The 17,328-nt window shown below is 37.3% G+C and overlaps 1 protein-coding gene and 1 pseudogene across 5 annotated transcripts in view; both read right to left on the minus strand.

Moving 5' to 3' along the window:
- The window catches only part of MAP4K3 (mitogen-activated protein kinase kinase kinase kinase 3), a 188,020-nt gene that overhangs the window by 129,710 nt on the left and 40,982 nt on the right, over positions 1–17,328 (minus strand). The window lies entirely within an intron of this gene.
- Positions 14,547–14,643, minus strand: RNU6-1341P (RNA, U6 small nuclear 1341, pseudogene; annotated as a pseudogene).

Here is a 17,328-nt window from a genome sequence, read left to right on the forward strand (position 1 = left end):
GGATCAGAACTTTCAATTTGATATTTTAAACTGTTAACTACAAATAATATTCATACCACCAATGAAGAACAATACATGCCATTCCCTGATCACAGAAAGATCCATTCATGTGACCAGATTTATTCCTAGTTGCAACACTCTCTTATTAATGGATTGGTGAAAATCAGTGAATCACCTGGCAAGAGATGGTAACACCATTAACAGTGGAATTCTTCTAAGAATACTAGGGCACTAAAAATACCAGCCAAAGATCTAAGATATGAGGCACCGTCATTGCTGAAAATATAAAATTTAACCATTTAACTCTAAGAAGAACAAAGATATTAAGAGATCTCATAGAAATTAATAAAATTTGCAGGGAAAATTCATTTAAAAATTGTTCCTTCAAACAAAATCCCCATAACTAATAAACACTCAAGGCAGTACAAAAGAGATTTGAAGACTTATTTCAAATTAAACTTAATTTCCATAAAATGGGATAGATGTTTCAAATAGACAGTGCTGGATACTAGTTCCTTTCTCTAGGAAGAAAACATATATAAATGATGAAATAGAAATAAAACCAGAATATCATTCTGGGAGCATTCTGTAAAGGAGGCAGAGTGTATCTGAAAAACATTCAGGTGTAATAGTCATAAAGCTTTTCAAGCACCATCACAACTACTTGCCTCTCCTCACACTTTGATATCTTTTCTCTGGTAGGATTCTCCTTTAGCATCTCCTCCAAATAAGACAACTGCCACCATTTAAAAATCATGCTATGGTTTTTTACTTACTGAGAAGAAATTCAGAGTATGGGTGATTCTACTATGGAAGAGCAGACAAATGTGAACTCAGAAAGCTAGGATGATTATAACTGAGATTTTTGTTACCAATGACCACAGGAGGGCACACTCTCTATTTACAAGTTACACAGTGTTTGTCCAAAATGGTTGCTGTACACAATGTACTCTTCTAAAAATAGATTTACTAACACCAGCATATATTTAACAGAAAAATTATGACACTAACTACTGATGAGTGGTTTACCAAGGTCAATATTTCCTATAGGGTTGACTTATGAATACAATTATTTCAAGTGGTAAATCAGTCTAGAATTTCCTAAAGGCTAACAGTTTTTAAATTACAGTTTTTTAGGGTTAACTGAAAAAAACATAGAGCTAAAATGATTACTGTTCTTTTGCTTTCTATGATGTTAGAAATATCTTCCAATATGTAATTTATTTGGCAGTATTAAGATATTTCACAAAAAGGGGAAAACAGACAATTGAAAGTCCTTAAGAAACTTCACTTCTAAGCCTTTCCTTAGTAAAATCCATGTTTATTAATAAAGGGTCTTTAAAGCTTTATGATTCACCAGGAATCTTGGTCTTCTGCCTAAAATAAGTCATATTTTGCTATCTCTAAATTGACTGTAGTCAAGGTTACACACAAAGGTAAATTTAAAAGTCAATATTATCTCTAACATTCTGCAACTGCTATTCTTTTTTTCAATCACCTTGAGCAGTTTATTTTTTAAAAAGGAGAGCAAGATAGAAATTATAAAATATTAGCACGTATAAAGTTAAAAATTTTGAATTCAGAATATGTAACATAAAATGTTCATACTTGTGAAGGGCAGAAAACAGGATAAAATATTCTAAGCAGCTAGATCTAGTCTGCTGCAACACTGATCTGACCACCATTCTTCAAATGCTCCCACAATGATGTTCTCATCATGCTGTTCTTGACTTATAACTCTGCAAGGGTACAACACATCATTGCTTTAAAGACAAAAATCCAAATTCCCTGTCAGAGTATTTAAAGCTTTCACTAAATACAGCACTTTTTATAACAGCTTTATTGGGATAGAATCCACATACCATGAAGTACACCCTTTCATGGTGTATGATTCAGTTGTGTTTAGTATATTCAGAGTTATGTAACTATACTAACTAATTTTAGAACACTTTCATCACCTCAAAAAGAAACCCCAGACCCATTCGCAGTCACTCCATATTCCTCTGACTCTCAATCCCTGGCAACCACTAATCTACTTTCCATCTCTATGGATTTGACTATTATAAATATTTCATGTAAATGGGATCAAATAACACATGGTCCTTTGTGACTCTGGTTTCTTGCACTTGGTGTAATGCTTTCAGACTCATCCATGTCTCAAACTCATTTATGTGTTACTGCCAAATAGTATTCCATTGTATGGAAATACCATATTTGGGCTGTTTCTACTTTTTAGCTGTTATGAATAATGGTGCTATAAACATCAGTGTACACATTTTTGTGTGGACCTGTTTTCAATTTTCCATTTGAATATCTTCTTTGGAGAACTGTCTATTCAATTCTTTGTCCATTTTAAATTCTTTTTAAATTGTTAATTGTAAGAGTTCTTCACATATATTCTGGATATAAATCCCTTATCAGTCACATGATTTGCAAGTATTTTCTCCCATTCTACATGCTTTCATTTTCTTATGGGTATCCTTTGAAACACAAAACCTTTTCATTTTGATGATGTCCAACTTAACTAATTTTTGTTTCTTGTGTTTTTAGTGTTGCAGCTAAGAAACCATTTGCCTAACCCAAGGTCACAAATACTTTTTTCCTATGATTTTTTTTTCTAAGATTTCTAAGTTTTATAGTTTTCTTAAATTTACGTCTATAATCTGAGTGAATTTTTATACTGTGTCAGATAGGGCTTCAGTTTCATTCTTTTGCCTATGGATATGAAATTGTGAAATACCACATTTTAATCTGGCCCCCATCTATATTTCTAGTCACTCCCTAACCTGTACTTTATCCTCTGGCCAAACTAAACAACCTGCTATTCCCCAGAGCCATCCACGCTTTGTTCCAGCTCCCTCCCCTGGCCTAACAGACATCCTTCGAAGCTCAGCTTAGGCTACCACCACTTCCCACAAGCCTTTTCCTGGCCCTGGTCTCACACCTTATTTCAGTATACACGTCCCCCACCACATACTCCCATAGGTTCTGGGTAACCTTTCTAAAATGGAAGTGGACTGGTGAGGAAAATCCTGCAGGTCTAGACCGATCTCGGCTTAGAGGGGCTCTGGGAAAGTACTAACTTTCAAAGCTGTACCAGAATTTAGTTTGATTCAGTGAGCCTTTCAGAGGCCATTCAGATTTGAACTAGTTTTGGAAAGAATTTTTCTGAGATGATTTCACGCAGATTGTGGAATTATCTCCAACTATCAGAAAGGCATTCCTTGAGAGTGAACTGAGGGTTAACAACATATTCAAGCAGCAATCATTAAGAGCCAAAAAATGTGCTAGGTACAATATAAAGTGGGTTAGAAACAGTCATTATCAGTAAAACATCTGACCATCATCTACTATGTATTGAGCCCCTTGGAGTACTCAAACCTTACTATGTAGAAGGGCATGTCCGATGTGAATATGAATACAAGTTCTGAGTGAGAGTTAACAACGTTTAGTCCTGGCTCTGCCAGTAACCAGCAATGGGATCTGAGCAAGTAATTTCCCTTGTGTCTTCTTCCTGACCCCTCTGCCCACAATTTAATAACATGAAGGTGAAGACAGGCTATTTCTAAGGTTCCTTCTAATTCTAAAAGTCAATGTTTATATCAAATAATTTCATTCTAAATCAACAGATTCCAAATACTGAACCAGCTAGTTGGTTATATAAAAATCATATAAAGAGTTTAAATACAAAACAAAACAATAACAAAATACTGCTACAAATTTTGAATTCTAGGTCAAGCGATTAAGAATGGGACCCAGGATTCTGTATCTTAAGCTACTGAGGTACTGCTGATACACAGTCAGGTTTGGGGACCCAGTTTAAAGCACTATGTTACTGACTTTTAGAAAATGTAACCACCAACTTATAAGCCTGAAAAGGTATTACAGGAATGATGGCATGAAGATGTTACCATTTATGCAGAGGTTTGAAAAGATGGCCTGAATTAGGAAAAACATACAAAAGGGATGGGGAAAAGGGCACAGAACGAAAAGCATGAGCAAAGGCTTGGGGACAGAAAACACAGACTATTTTGAGTGTACCAGGCCAGCCAAACCTCAGAGTACTTCCCATACAACTACTCCCTTTCAGAAGAAAATGGATAACCCATGCTCACTGCTGAAGGGATGGCTTCATGTTCGCTTTCCCAAAGTTGATTAGACTAGGTGTATTAGTTTGTTCTCATGCTGCTTTAAGGAATTGCCTGCGACTCGGTAATTTATAAAGGAAAAAGGTTTAATTGACTCACAATTCCGCAGGGTTGGGAAGCCTCAGGAAACTTACAAGCAAGGCAAAAGGGGAAGCAAACATGTCCTCCTTCACGTGGCAACAGGAATGAAAAGTGCCAAGCAAAAGAGGGGAAGCCCCTTATAAAACCATCAGATCTCATGAGAACTCACTATCATGAGAAGAGCAAGACGGTAATCACCGCCATGATTCAATTACCTCCACCAGGTTCCTCTACAACATGTGGGGATTATGAGAACTACAATTAAAGATGAAATTTGGGTGGGGAAACAGCCAAATCATGTCACTAGGTATGTGTCCACTACAAGGGCAACCAATTCATAGGAAAACTAACAGAGTGACATACATCCCTGGTTTACCCAGAGTACTCCTGGTTATGCCTATTGTACCGGTAGAATTATTAATAATTCTACCAGTACAATAAGAGTGCCTGTGTTCACTCTTAAACAACTGAACATTTATTAAATTTGGATGATAAATTATAAGGTTAATATACCAATAAACCCTGAGCTGACATGAAAATAGGAAACAGGGCAAATTCTCTAAAATAGGGATCAGCAAACATGTCTATTTTTGTAAATAAAAGTTTTACTGGTACATAGCCACATGTACATGGCTCATGTCTGTAATTCCAGCACTTTGCGAGGCAAAAGTGGGCAGATCGCTTGAGCCCAGGAGTTCAAGACCAGCCTGGGAAACATGGTGAAACCCTGTCTCTACAAAAAATACAAAAATTAGCTGGGCTTGGTCTTGGTAGCATGTGCCTATAGTCCCAGTTACCCAAGAGGCTGAGGTGGGAGGAGGATCAATTGAGCCCAAGAGATCAAGGCTGCAGTGAGCTATGATCACACCATTGTCCTCAAGCCTGGGCAACAGAGTAAGACCAGTATTAAAAAAAAAAAAAAAATTCAATGGCAGAGTTGAGTAGCTAAGACAGAGGCCATATGGCTCACAAAGCCTGAAGTATTACTATCTGACCCTTTATCGACAACTTGCTGATCCTTGCTTTAAAACAGCACTGTCGGCCGGGCATGGTGGCTCAAGCCGGGCGTCGTGGCTCATGCCTGTAACCTCAGCACTTTGGGAGGCCGAGGTAGGCGGATCACCTGAGGTCAGGAGTTCAAGACCAGCCTGACCAATATGATGAAACACCATCTCTACTAAAAATACAAAAATTAGCTGGGCGCAGTGGCATGTGCCTGTAATCCCAGCTACTCGAGAGGCTGGGACAGGAGAATCGCTTGAACCCGGGAGGCGGAAGTTGCAGTGAGCTGAGATTGCGCCACTGCGCTCCAGCCTGGGTAACAAGAGCAAAACTCCATCTCAAAACAACAACAGCAACAAAACAAAGAAAACCCAGCATTGTCCAAAAGAACTTTCTGCATTGATGGAAATGATCTGTATCTGCAATATCCAATACATTAGCCCCATACCACATGTGCCTATTGATCACTTAAAATGTGGCCAGTGCAAGTGAAAAACTGAATTTTGTTTAATTGTACGTGTGTACAAAATGAAATATTTAAAATTTGGAGTTTTTAATTTTTTTAACTACCAGACAATAAAATGGATTTTTAAAGATACAGTTCTAGTAATTTTAACACATATATTAGATTATGTAACCACCACCACCACCACCATCAGGAAATAAGAAAGTTCCATCACTGCAAAAACTCCAATGGAAGTCATAATCCTCCCTAAACCCTGGAAACACTAACGTGTTCTCTATGACTACAGTTTTTCTTTTTGAGAATGCCATATAAATTCATTCATTATATAACATCTTTAGACTCTTCTTTCACCAAGTTGTTGCATATATCATTAGTTTATTCCTTTTTATTGCTGAGTAGGGTTCCACTGTATGGATTTACCACAGTTCATCCATTTACCAGTTGAAGGGTATCTGGGTTGTTTTCAGTTTTTGGCAAATACGGAAAGAGCTGCTATAAACATTTGTATACAGGGTAGATAAATACCCAGGAGTGTGACTAGGTCATATCATATGGTAGGTATATGTTTAACCTTATAAGAAATTGCCCAACTTTCCAGAGTGACTGTACCATTTTTCATTCCCAGAAGCAACGCATGGTGGGGTTCCACTTGCTTCACATCCTTGCCAAGAGCTGGCATTGTATTTTTTATTTCAGCCATCCTAATAGGTAGGTAAATGCTATTTCATGGTGGTTTTAGTTTGCATTTCCTTGATGACTAATGATGCTCTTAGTCTATTCATGTGCTTACCTGCCATCCTTTGATGAACTGTTTTCCAGTCTTTCATCCATGTTTTTAACTGGAATATTTATTTTCTTACTGAGTTATGAGCGTTCTTCATATATATATATATATATATATATATATATATATATATATATTCTATATATGAGTCCTTTGTCAGATATATGATTTGCAATTTTTTTTTTTTTTTGAGACGAAGTTTCACTCTTATCGCCCAGGCTAGGGTGCAATGGCGCAATCTTGGCTCATTGCAACCTCCGCCTCCCGGGTTCAAGCGATTCTCCAGCCTCAGCCTCCCAAGTAGCTAAGATTACAAGCAACTGCCACCACACCCGGCTAATTTTTTTGTATTTTTAGTAGAGATGAGGTTTCACCATGTTGGTCAGGCTGGTCTCAAACTCCTGACGTCAGGTGATCCACCCGTCTTGGCCTCCCAAAGTGCTGGGATTACAGGCATGAGCCACTGCACCCAGCCAAATGTTTTCTTCCAGTCTGTAACTTATTCTTCATTCTTGTTAACAGTGTTTTTTGCAGAATTTATGAATTGAATTGTGCTCCCTACCAAATTCATATGTTGAAGTCCCAACCCCCAGCACTTTAGAACATGACTATATTCAGAGGAAGGGCATTTGAAGAGGTAATTAAGGTTAAATAAGTTATATGGGTTGGCCCTAATCCAACAAGACTGATGTCCCTTTAAGAAAAGGAAGAGATACCAGAGATATACATGCACAGTGAAAAGGCCATGTGAAGATGCACCAAGAAGGAGGCCATCTGCAAGCCAAGGAGAGAAGCTTCAGGAGAAACCAACCCTGCTGGCACCTTAACTTTGGACTTCCAGCCTCCAGAACTATGAGAAAATAAATTTCTACTGTTGAAGCCACCCAGTCTGTGGCATTTTGTTATGGCAGCCTTGCCAAACAAATATACAGAGCAAAAGTTTTTATTTTTGATAAAGTCCAATTTATCAATAGTTTCTTTTATGAATTGTGCTTTTGGTATCACATCCAAGATCTTTTTGCTTAACTCCAGGTCACAAATATTTTCTCCTGTGTTTTCTTCTAAAAGTTTTATGTTTTTACATTTAGTTTCATGATACATTTTGAGATCATTTTTGTGTAAGGTGTACAGTTTAAGTTTAGGTACATTTTTTTGCATGTATATGTCCAACTCTTTCTTATCATTTGTGGAAAAGTCAATTTTCCTTTCATTGAACTGACTTCCACCTTTGTCAAAAATGAATTGGCTATATTTGTGTGGATCTATTTCTGGACCCCATGTTGATCTATATTGATCTAGTGATTGTGTGTTTATCTCTTACCTACACTATACAGTCTTGATTAGTGTAATTTTTTTTGTTGTTCTTTTTTTTTTTTTGAGACGGAGTCTCACTCTGTTGCCCAGGCTGGAGTGCAGTGATACAATCTCAGCTCGCTGCAACCTCTGCCTTCTGGGTTCAAATGATTCTCCTGCCTCAGCCTCTTGAGTAGGTGGGACTGCAGGTGTGCCACCACGCCTAGCTAATTTTTGTATTTTCAGTACAGATGGAGTTTTGCCATGTTGGCCAGGCTCATCGCCAACTCCTGACCTCAAGTGATCTACCCACCTTGGCCTCCCAAAGTGCTGGGATGACAGGTATGAGCCACCACCACGCCCGGCCGATTATTGTAGTTTTATAGTAAATTTTAAATTTACAATCACAATAATTTTGTGATTCCTCCAACTTTTACTTTTTCAAAGTTGCTTTGGCAACAAAGGTCCTTTGCCTTTCCATATAAATTTGAGCCAGCTTGTCTGTTTAAAAAAAAAAATCTGCTGTTGGGACTTTTATTTGGAAGTACATTAAATCTATAGATCAATTTGGAAAGAACTGACATATTTACTATGTGGAGTCTTCCAATCCATGAACACTACTGGCAGGTGTCTCTGTTTATTTAGATATTGATATCTTTCATCAGTGCTTTGCAGTTATCAGCATACAGATCCTATACGTAATTTCAATTTTGATTTTAAAAGTCACACGTGGCTAGTGATAACTGCATTAGACAGCACAACTCTAAAATGTTTGAAACTGGAAATACTGAGAAATAGCACCACCATGCAATGTAACTCACTGTGAAACCATGCTATGTGCCAGTGTCACAGCATGCAGGACTTTGGGCATAAAGTGAAGTTTTGAAGAAATAGAAAAGACGCAATGAAGAGACAATCAATAAAGAGCAAATAACCCAACAGATGGACAGAAAAAATTACAAGACCATAAGAAAAGAGCAGATCTCCAAGCTGCCTTGAGTTCCTGACAAGCTTCCAGTTCCGTGTATCATGTATCTTTACAATAGCCTCTCTTTTCTTAAGTTAACTTGAATGGCTCTTTGTTTCTTAAAACCAGATAATTAAAGATCTACATTTCTAGGACTACCTGGTCCTAATAAAAAAAAATTTTAAAAACAGATTGAGGCTATCATTAACTTTCAAAAAATGCACTTAGCAGATAATAATTGGATATAGACATGGAAAATAATCTGTGAGTGATAAAAGAGTACAGACAGTTCCAACATATCAGTAATTTGTATTTCAAAGTTTAATTCTGAATTTTGGAATTCAAAAATGGACCTGTTCCATATCAATAACACTTCTAAATGGTAACTGGCAGACCACACTAATAATATGGATAAAACTTAACAGTAGCACTGAGTTTGGGAAAGCATAAGAGATCAGGTAACCAATTCCAACTTTGCACTATAGAAGCAATAGCAGCAGCATTTCTAGCCCAAAGGTGCTCAGACCCCAATGTGCGTAAACACCTTCCAAGATTTCACTTTTGGAAATAAGTTAGACTAGATATAAAATATCCTTCCATTACAAATATCTAGAAATAGCAGACAAGATACAACAAACACTCTTTTACGTGCACTGAACTCACAAGCAAATAAATTCACAGGTGGCACAAAGAGATGTAGTATAAACAGCTTTAAAAAATCTGTTAAATGTATTTACTGAATAAAATCAGAGCTGTAAACAAAAGCTCAAGCCATGGCCTTAGATTAAACTTGGAATCTAGGGACTTCAGTTTTGATTTTTATTAGATGTGGTGAAAGCTGAAATTGGGACCACTGCATAAAACCAGCAATGCCCTTGAAGAGTCACACCGCACAGGTAGGTTGGGGAAAAGGGCTCTATCCACAACAGGCAATTTGTTCAAATCAGGCCTTCACTAGAATCAAAATATCTTCCCTGGAAATCCATAATCACAAGTCTGTCCCCAGTAGAGCATAGGGTTAAAATTTACACTGATTTTGAGGGCCAGGAGCCTCAAGTCAAGAAATAAATTTAAGTTGTTTCTGGGTTGGTGGTAACACAAGGCACCTGGCAGAGGGAGAAACAAATTATCTGTAGATAAACACATCTTCAACCCATACTCCAGGAAATTACCACATAATATTATTAGGCAGATATGAGCTTAAAACAAAATTATCAAGCATAAAAGGAAACAAACCACCAGAGCAGTAAAAACTATGAAAAACCAAATCAAATCCATAGAAGTTAAATTTTAGGAATTAAAAGATATATAACATTACAATCAAGTACGCTTTAAAAGTTTAAAGAAATAAAAGAAGGTATTAAATACATAGGACAGATTTTTTAAAAGTTAACACTAGAAATAAATAAATACATGGGTCAGAAGCAAGAGGCTAACAAAAATGACTTGGCAGACAGGACAAAAAGAACAAAATAGAATTTCTAGAAATAAAAAACGAAATTAAAAACCTAACTGGTGTACACAGACATAAAATTAGACAAAATGGCAGATCTGAAGCAGCAAAGAGAGCAAGAGATAGAAAATGAGAGATTAAGAGACACAAAGAATAGAATAAGAAAATATACATCTAATTAAACAAGGAAGGAAGAGAGAACCAATATTTCAAGACACCATGGCTGAAATTTTTCCAGAATGGGTAAAAGACAAAACCTCAGATTCAGAAGACACAGTCTCAAGGAGAGCAAATAAACAAGAAATCCACATCTAGACACACTACATGAAACTGCAAAAAAACTAAAGAAAAAGAAGTGATCTTTAAAAGCACTCAGAGAAAAGGAGTCAGATTATCCACAAAAGAACAACAATTAGACTTTTCAGAGAAAAAAGAAAGCCAGAAAGACTGTAGAAAATGCAGTGCTGAAAAAAAGTTAAGTCAGTCTAGAATTATATTCTCAGGTAAAACATTATTCAATAAAATAGGGCAAAATAAAGACACTTTCTAACAAACACCAAGGGCTCACTGCCAAAAGATGTGCAATAACATATTCTTCTAAAGGATGTATTTCAGGATCAAAAAAGGCTCAGAAAGAAAGTTTAAGATGCAAGGAGTATCAAATAAACTACCAATCTTGGGTAGAGATAAACATTGATGACTGTAAAAAAACAATAATGTCTATGCAATTTTTAAAAAACTAGAACTCAAATATGGAGCAAAATACCATGGAAATAGGAAGGTGGAAGTACAATTAAATTGCTCTGAAGACTTTATACAGTTTGCGAAGTGGACAGAGTTAGTGAATAATTTGGGGTCTTAGGTTAGGTATGTATATTAAATTATTACGATCAACATCTAAAATAATGAAAGTAGTATATAACAGTGATTCTTAATTGAGGATACTAACCCCATAAAAATGGAAAGGAGGTGTTTGGAAATGTGGAGGGACATTTACATTTTGGGTTGTCTCAATAACTGGGGATGATAATAGTATTTGGTAGGTAGGACCCAATGATTTTTAAAGTCCTGTTGTGCCTTCAGATTGCCACACGATAATCCTGGCCAAAATGCCAGTAGCACCTACACTGAGAAATACGGTATACACCTACCAAAAAATGAAATTTAAACAACTCAGCATGGAAATTAAACAACTCAATACAAACCACTTGTAGATCTGCTTTAAATCACAGAGTCTTGGCTTCCACACCACGCAGACTCTGAATCAGCAGATCTGAGGTGAGCCCCAGGAACCTATGGTTTTAATACTACTCAAGTGACTGATTCAATCAATAGCCTATCACTCACACTTGAGAAACACCATAGTCTAATAAGCGTGAAATGGCAGATGAATGGGGTTTAAGAGACTCCCATTTCAGCAAGAGGCACTGGAGGAAGGGATGCCCAGGGCTGAGAAAAAGTCTAGCAACAGGGAGTAAGTGGTGGCAGAAATTCATGTACGTATATCATTAAGTGTCCCCAAATCAGAAACTGGAGATCAGAAGAAAAAGCACTTTTCTAAGATTAACAACATATAAGTAGAGCAGTGCTTTACATAAAAATTAAAAAAAAAAAAATACTGGAAATGAAAATACAACAGGATAGTTCAGGAAAACATCAATAAAGTAACTCAATCCACAACCTAAAAATCAATCGCCCTATAAACACGATGGGAAAGTCTGTCTTCAGAAATCCTGCCCATATTCTGACCGACATACATCTCTTGAGTAATGACCTTATTCACCAATTTCTAACATCTGCAATATGACTGCCTGGAGCAGCAGAATAGTACTTCTGAAACATGTTAAATATATTCTGGAAAAAAAAGAGTTATTGGTTAAGTATTAGAAATAATACATACTATAGGCCGGGCGCGGTGGCTCAAGCCTGTAATCCCAGCACTTTGGGAGGCCAAGGCAGGCGGATCACGAGGTCAGGAGATCAAGACCATCCTGGCTAACACAGTGAAACCCCGTCTCTACTAAAAAAAACACACAAAAATTAGCCGGGCGTGGTGGCGGGTGCCTGTAGTCTCAGCTACTCGGGAGGCTGAGGCAGGAGAATGGCGTGAACCCAGGCGGCAGAGCTTGCAGTGAGCCGAGATTGTGCCACTGCACTCTGGCCTGAGCGACAGAGCAAGACTCCATCTCAAAAAAAAAAAAAAAAAAAAAAAGAAAGAAAGAAAGAATATATACTATACTCTCCTCCTAGAGATCAACTGTGCACACCAGCACATTAAAAGATTCTGAAAGTTCTGTGGCAAAGAAAACCATTTACTTTTGTTTGATTCTTCATCTCCCACCATTATTTGACTAAGGACCCCTAAAAGCTCCCCAATTTAATAGAAAATTTAGGATTTAGAAAAATACATTCACTTAAGTAAACACTGTCTATTCACTACTATATCCTTGGCACCTTGAACAGTGCCTGGAAGACAACAGGTGCTCAAAATATGTTTGCTGAATGAGTAATTAAAATCAGTTGTGTGCTGGTAAATGTTTAAAAAAACAGCTTGGGGGAATGAAGGCAGAATGAGCATTGATTTCTAACATTTTCGTGGTGTAAACACTCCCACCAAGGCAGATCACAACCTACCAACCTGGCATTTCTGCACATGGAGTTGGGAGGAGATGCTCGTAATCTCGCTGGTACAAAAAGTCTCCTGGACATCACTGATTAAAATGTGAAAATGGGCCAGGCGCGGTGGCTCACATCTGTAATCCTAGCACTTTGGGAGGCCGAGGCAGGCAGATCACGAGGTCAAGAGATGGAGACCATCCTGGCCAACACGGTGAAACTCCATCTCTACTAAAAATACAAAAATTAGCTGGGCATGGTAGGTAGCGCGCGCCTGTAGTCCCAGCTACTCGGGAGGCTGTGGTAGGAGAATCGCTTGAACCCGGGAGGTGGAGGTTGCAGTGAGCTGAGATTGCACCACTCCACTCCAGCCTGGCAACAGAACGACACTCCTACTCAAAAAAAAAAAAAAAAAAAAAATTACAGTGAAGCTTATTTAATGCAAATGCAGAATATCACTTCTCTAACCCGTATCCCTGGGGAATGAAGACTAAGTTTTCCAGATAATGGGATAAATGTTAAGTGAAAAATGCATATTTTTTAATTCAAAAAAGAAACATTGTATGTTTATTAAGCGTGTGATACAAAATTTAACATTTTCTGCTAACTCAATATTGCCTATTATATAAATTATCTATAAAGCATCCCAAAGTGACGCTCTTAAATTAGACACATAAAGCTATTTGCCCCTATACTAAATCATATTTTTAGCCTGGGGCCCAAGGCTGGGCTTCAGTGAGCCCAAGAATTCCTGACACTGAATACAAACTGATATATGTTTTATACTTCTTGCTGAGAAAAATGTTTACAGACTCCATTAGCTGTCACTATGGTCTGAATGGGTCCCTCAAAGCTTATGTGTTGGAAACTGAATCCCCAATGTAATAGTATTGGCAGGTGGGGTGATTGGGTCATAAGGCCAGAAAATGAATTAATGTCATTTCTGAGGAAGTAGGTTGTTTATCTTGAGACTGAGTTGGTTATAAAAGTGAGTTTGGCTCCCTTCTGCTCTCTTGATCTTTCGCCCTTACTCTTCCACTTTCTGCCATGGGATGACACAGTACAAAGACCCTAACTGGATGCCATCGCCATGCTCTTGGACTTTCCAGCCTCCAAAACTGTGAGCCAAATAAATCTTTGATCTTTATAAATTACCCAGTCTCAGGTATTCCATTATAACAGAATAAAGGGGACTAAGCCAGGTGTCCATAAGGTTAAGAACCACTTCTCTAAGTAAATCTGGACTGTTCTGCTTACTTAATTTGAGGCATTTTGGTTTTCTCCTTCTCTCTCATCAGGCTGTTAGTGGTTATTTCTTACTGACTGTGTGTACAGCATCCCTACCTCCAATTTGTTTTGAGTTGGAGAAACTGATTAAGTGAGCTCATTAGAAAATGTTTTCATTAAATTACTGAGGACTTCACCTGTGAATGTAGAGAATGAAACACAAAAATGTACAAACTGGTGGCAAATGTGTAAAATAAACAGAATGTTTACACAGCTGATGGTAGTCCAGATTAAGTACATTATAAAAACACAACATATTCTACCCAATAAAATCTATCTCCTTAGAAGCCTTTTACTTAAGATAATTTCCATTTTACAAGAGAATATACTTTTCAAACGTATCAGTCATAAAACTTAGAACCTATCCATTTCAGAATCCCGTTTTTACCTGAAGTCATTACAATCCATCCATTTTTTAAAAAAAGCTATGTATAGCAAACTTCATTTTTTAAAATTTTAATTTTTTAAAATATTTTTTGCGCAGGGCCCATGCTAATCTTCTCTGTATCATTCCAATTTTAGTATATGTGCTCCCAAAGCGAGCAACAAACTTCATTTTTTAAGATCACTTATGTTTAAATCTGGGGTGAATGAACCAATTTCTAGAATTTGTGCCTATTATTTGAGGGCTGGATCTGCACTTGACCTTTGGTATATGCAGGAGACTGGTTCCAGGACCCTTGAGTGTACCAAAATCCACACTTGCTCAAGTCCCATAGCAGCCCCTGCAGAACCTGTGTATATGAAAAGTCAGCCATATATATATGGGTTTCACATTACACAAATACTGAGTTTGGTTAAAAAAAATCTGCATATGTGGACATGTGTAGTTCAAGTTCAAGCCTGTGTTGTTCAAGGGTCAGTTGTATATCTTTCATTAAAATCAGTGAAATGAGAACGACATACATATGCTTTCTCATGACATAAAATTTCAAAGTAAATTAAATTAATTTATAACTAAGCTCCATCAAGGCTTTGAACATTACTCTTACAAAGCACACCTAGCAATATTAGAAACTTTTGTTATGCTTTATAAAAATTTTTCTACCATTACTCCTCTTGCTAAAAATCTGCCTACTACGAGAGAATGGCCAATATGAATACCACTGTTTTCACTTTTCTCCTGTTCCCAATACCCTTCAACAACATCTCATTTGCTTCTGTTACTGCTGGATATTTACTTCAATTGCATTATAGTAATCTTGGGAGAAACATAAAGGAGGAGCCAGGGAAAGGCAGAACAACTTCTAAGGACACGTTGCACTACAGCAAGCCTGAAATGAGGACAGCTTGAACTAAGGTCATTTAATGGGAATGGAGAGAAATGGTTAAAAATTCTACTTTATCCCAGGTTTTCTAGATTGTGGTTCTCCAGAACAAAAACTCACAAGAGCCACATTATTTTTTGCTTAGGTAATTATTTCCAAGAATAAATAGCTATGTTTTCTGTTGTGCTTTTAATCCAGAGGTGTCTAGAACAGTCCTCAAAGGAAGGGGTGATAGTGGAGGAGGGCCATTCCTCTCCACAGAGACGGACCTGAGCTCACTCAGTCAGCCAAGTATCAAAACAGCATATTCACAAATAAGTTATAAAAGAGCTTGGCCAGACGGACAGGAGAAAGAAATGTAACACCAGATTATGGAGAAACGAAGAGGGCAACTTCAGGGAATAAGATAGGCAGAATGTGGTTATGATGCCAAGGATACGACTAAACAGAAAAACGCCTGGCAGCAACTAGATCTTTGATAATAACTAGTTTCTATCACCCTTTGTCAGTGCTATATCCTCCTCCCAAAGTTTCTTGAGACTGGCCTGGAAAGGGGCTTTCCTGTGCATCAGAAGGAATTTGAATCCATCAGACTCTAATTATTCTTCCAGAAATAGGAAAATCACAATGTAACTCTTAACATCTGAAACAAAAATGGAACAAGAGAATGATTCCACTATGACAGCAATTATTTTTAAGACCAGATAAAATACTAGTTCAGATATACACTGATGAAATTAAACAACCTTCCAGCATTCTAATATCCAGTTTAATTAAAAAAAAGAGATGAATGCCATTGTTCCCACTCAAGAAATAACACCAACACATAATGAAGTACTAATATTGCAATGTGCAATAAACCCACCTGCAAAGGGCTCTGTTGTATAAAAATTACCAAAGAAATTTAGCAACATAGCTTGCTGCTGACAAATCTAAGCAAGTACATAAAAAGTGGATTTTACCAAACAACCTACATGCACGTACACATACACACACACACACACACACACACACACACATTTTTAAAATAATGGTTTTATTCAGGCTACACAGCAAGTATTAATAAGCTTTTCCACTATCTGATAATGCTGGCTTTTTAATCTGAAAAAGAAAATGGAATGCTTCTGAAACTCTTCTGTTATACAATAGAGAAATTACATAATTTGACCTCATGAGGCTAAACTATCAGCTCCCTTTCTCACTATTAGGGTAAGCTAATTTGTCTTCCTGCTTACTGCTTTTGTTCTTTTGGGATGAATGTAATTTCCCAAATATAAGACACTCCTGTTATCCTATTTATCCATTACCATTTACTGTGACATAACAAAACTTTGTTTACTAAAACCTACTATAGCGCTCTACATTTCAATTTTCAATTTTCTCACACTCATTATTCAAAGAATCAGACACTCAAATATGCTACATTATAAAGGGCTCTGGAAAACACTATCAAATAATTCTTTCCATCTGTTTAGTTAAAAGGAGGGGGAGAAACTGAGATTTCAATTACTCTTCAAAATATTTTGATATGTATGCTTTATTTGAAGCCTGAAAGCTTCAGTATACAAAAGACTAGAGCTGTTAAAAAGTTCAGGATGATAGATACAGTATTCATTATGTAGAATATATGTATACTTAAATATTAAAATATCAGGAAAAGGGGAAGGGAAATACAGGTTTGGTTTTTGGGGTTTTTTGTTTGTCTGTTTGTTTTGAGACAAGATCTCACTCTGTTGCACCAGCTGGAATGTAGTGGCATCATCATAGCTCACTGCAGCCTCTTAACTCCTGGGCTCAAACAATCTTCCTGCCTCGGACTCCGGAGCAGTTGGAACTACAGGCATGCACCACCACACCTGGCTAATTTTTAAATTTTTTAATGTAGAAATGGGGTCTCACGATGTTGCTCAGGCTGGTCTCAAACTCCTGACCTCAAGTGATCCTCCCACCTCGACCTCATGAA

The sequence above is a fragment of the Homo sapiens genome, chromosome 2, assembly GCF_000001405.40.
Source record: "Homo sapiens chromosome 2, GRCh38.p14 Primary Assembly".
Classification (NCBI taxonomy): domain Eukaryota; kingdom Metazoa; phylum Chordata; class Mammalia; order Primates; family Hominidae; genus Homo; species Homo sapiens.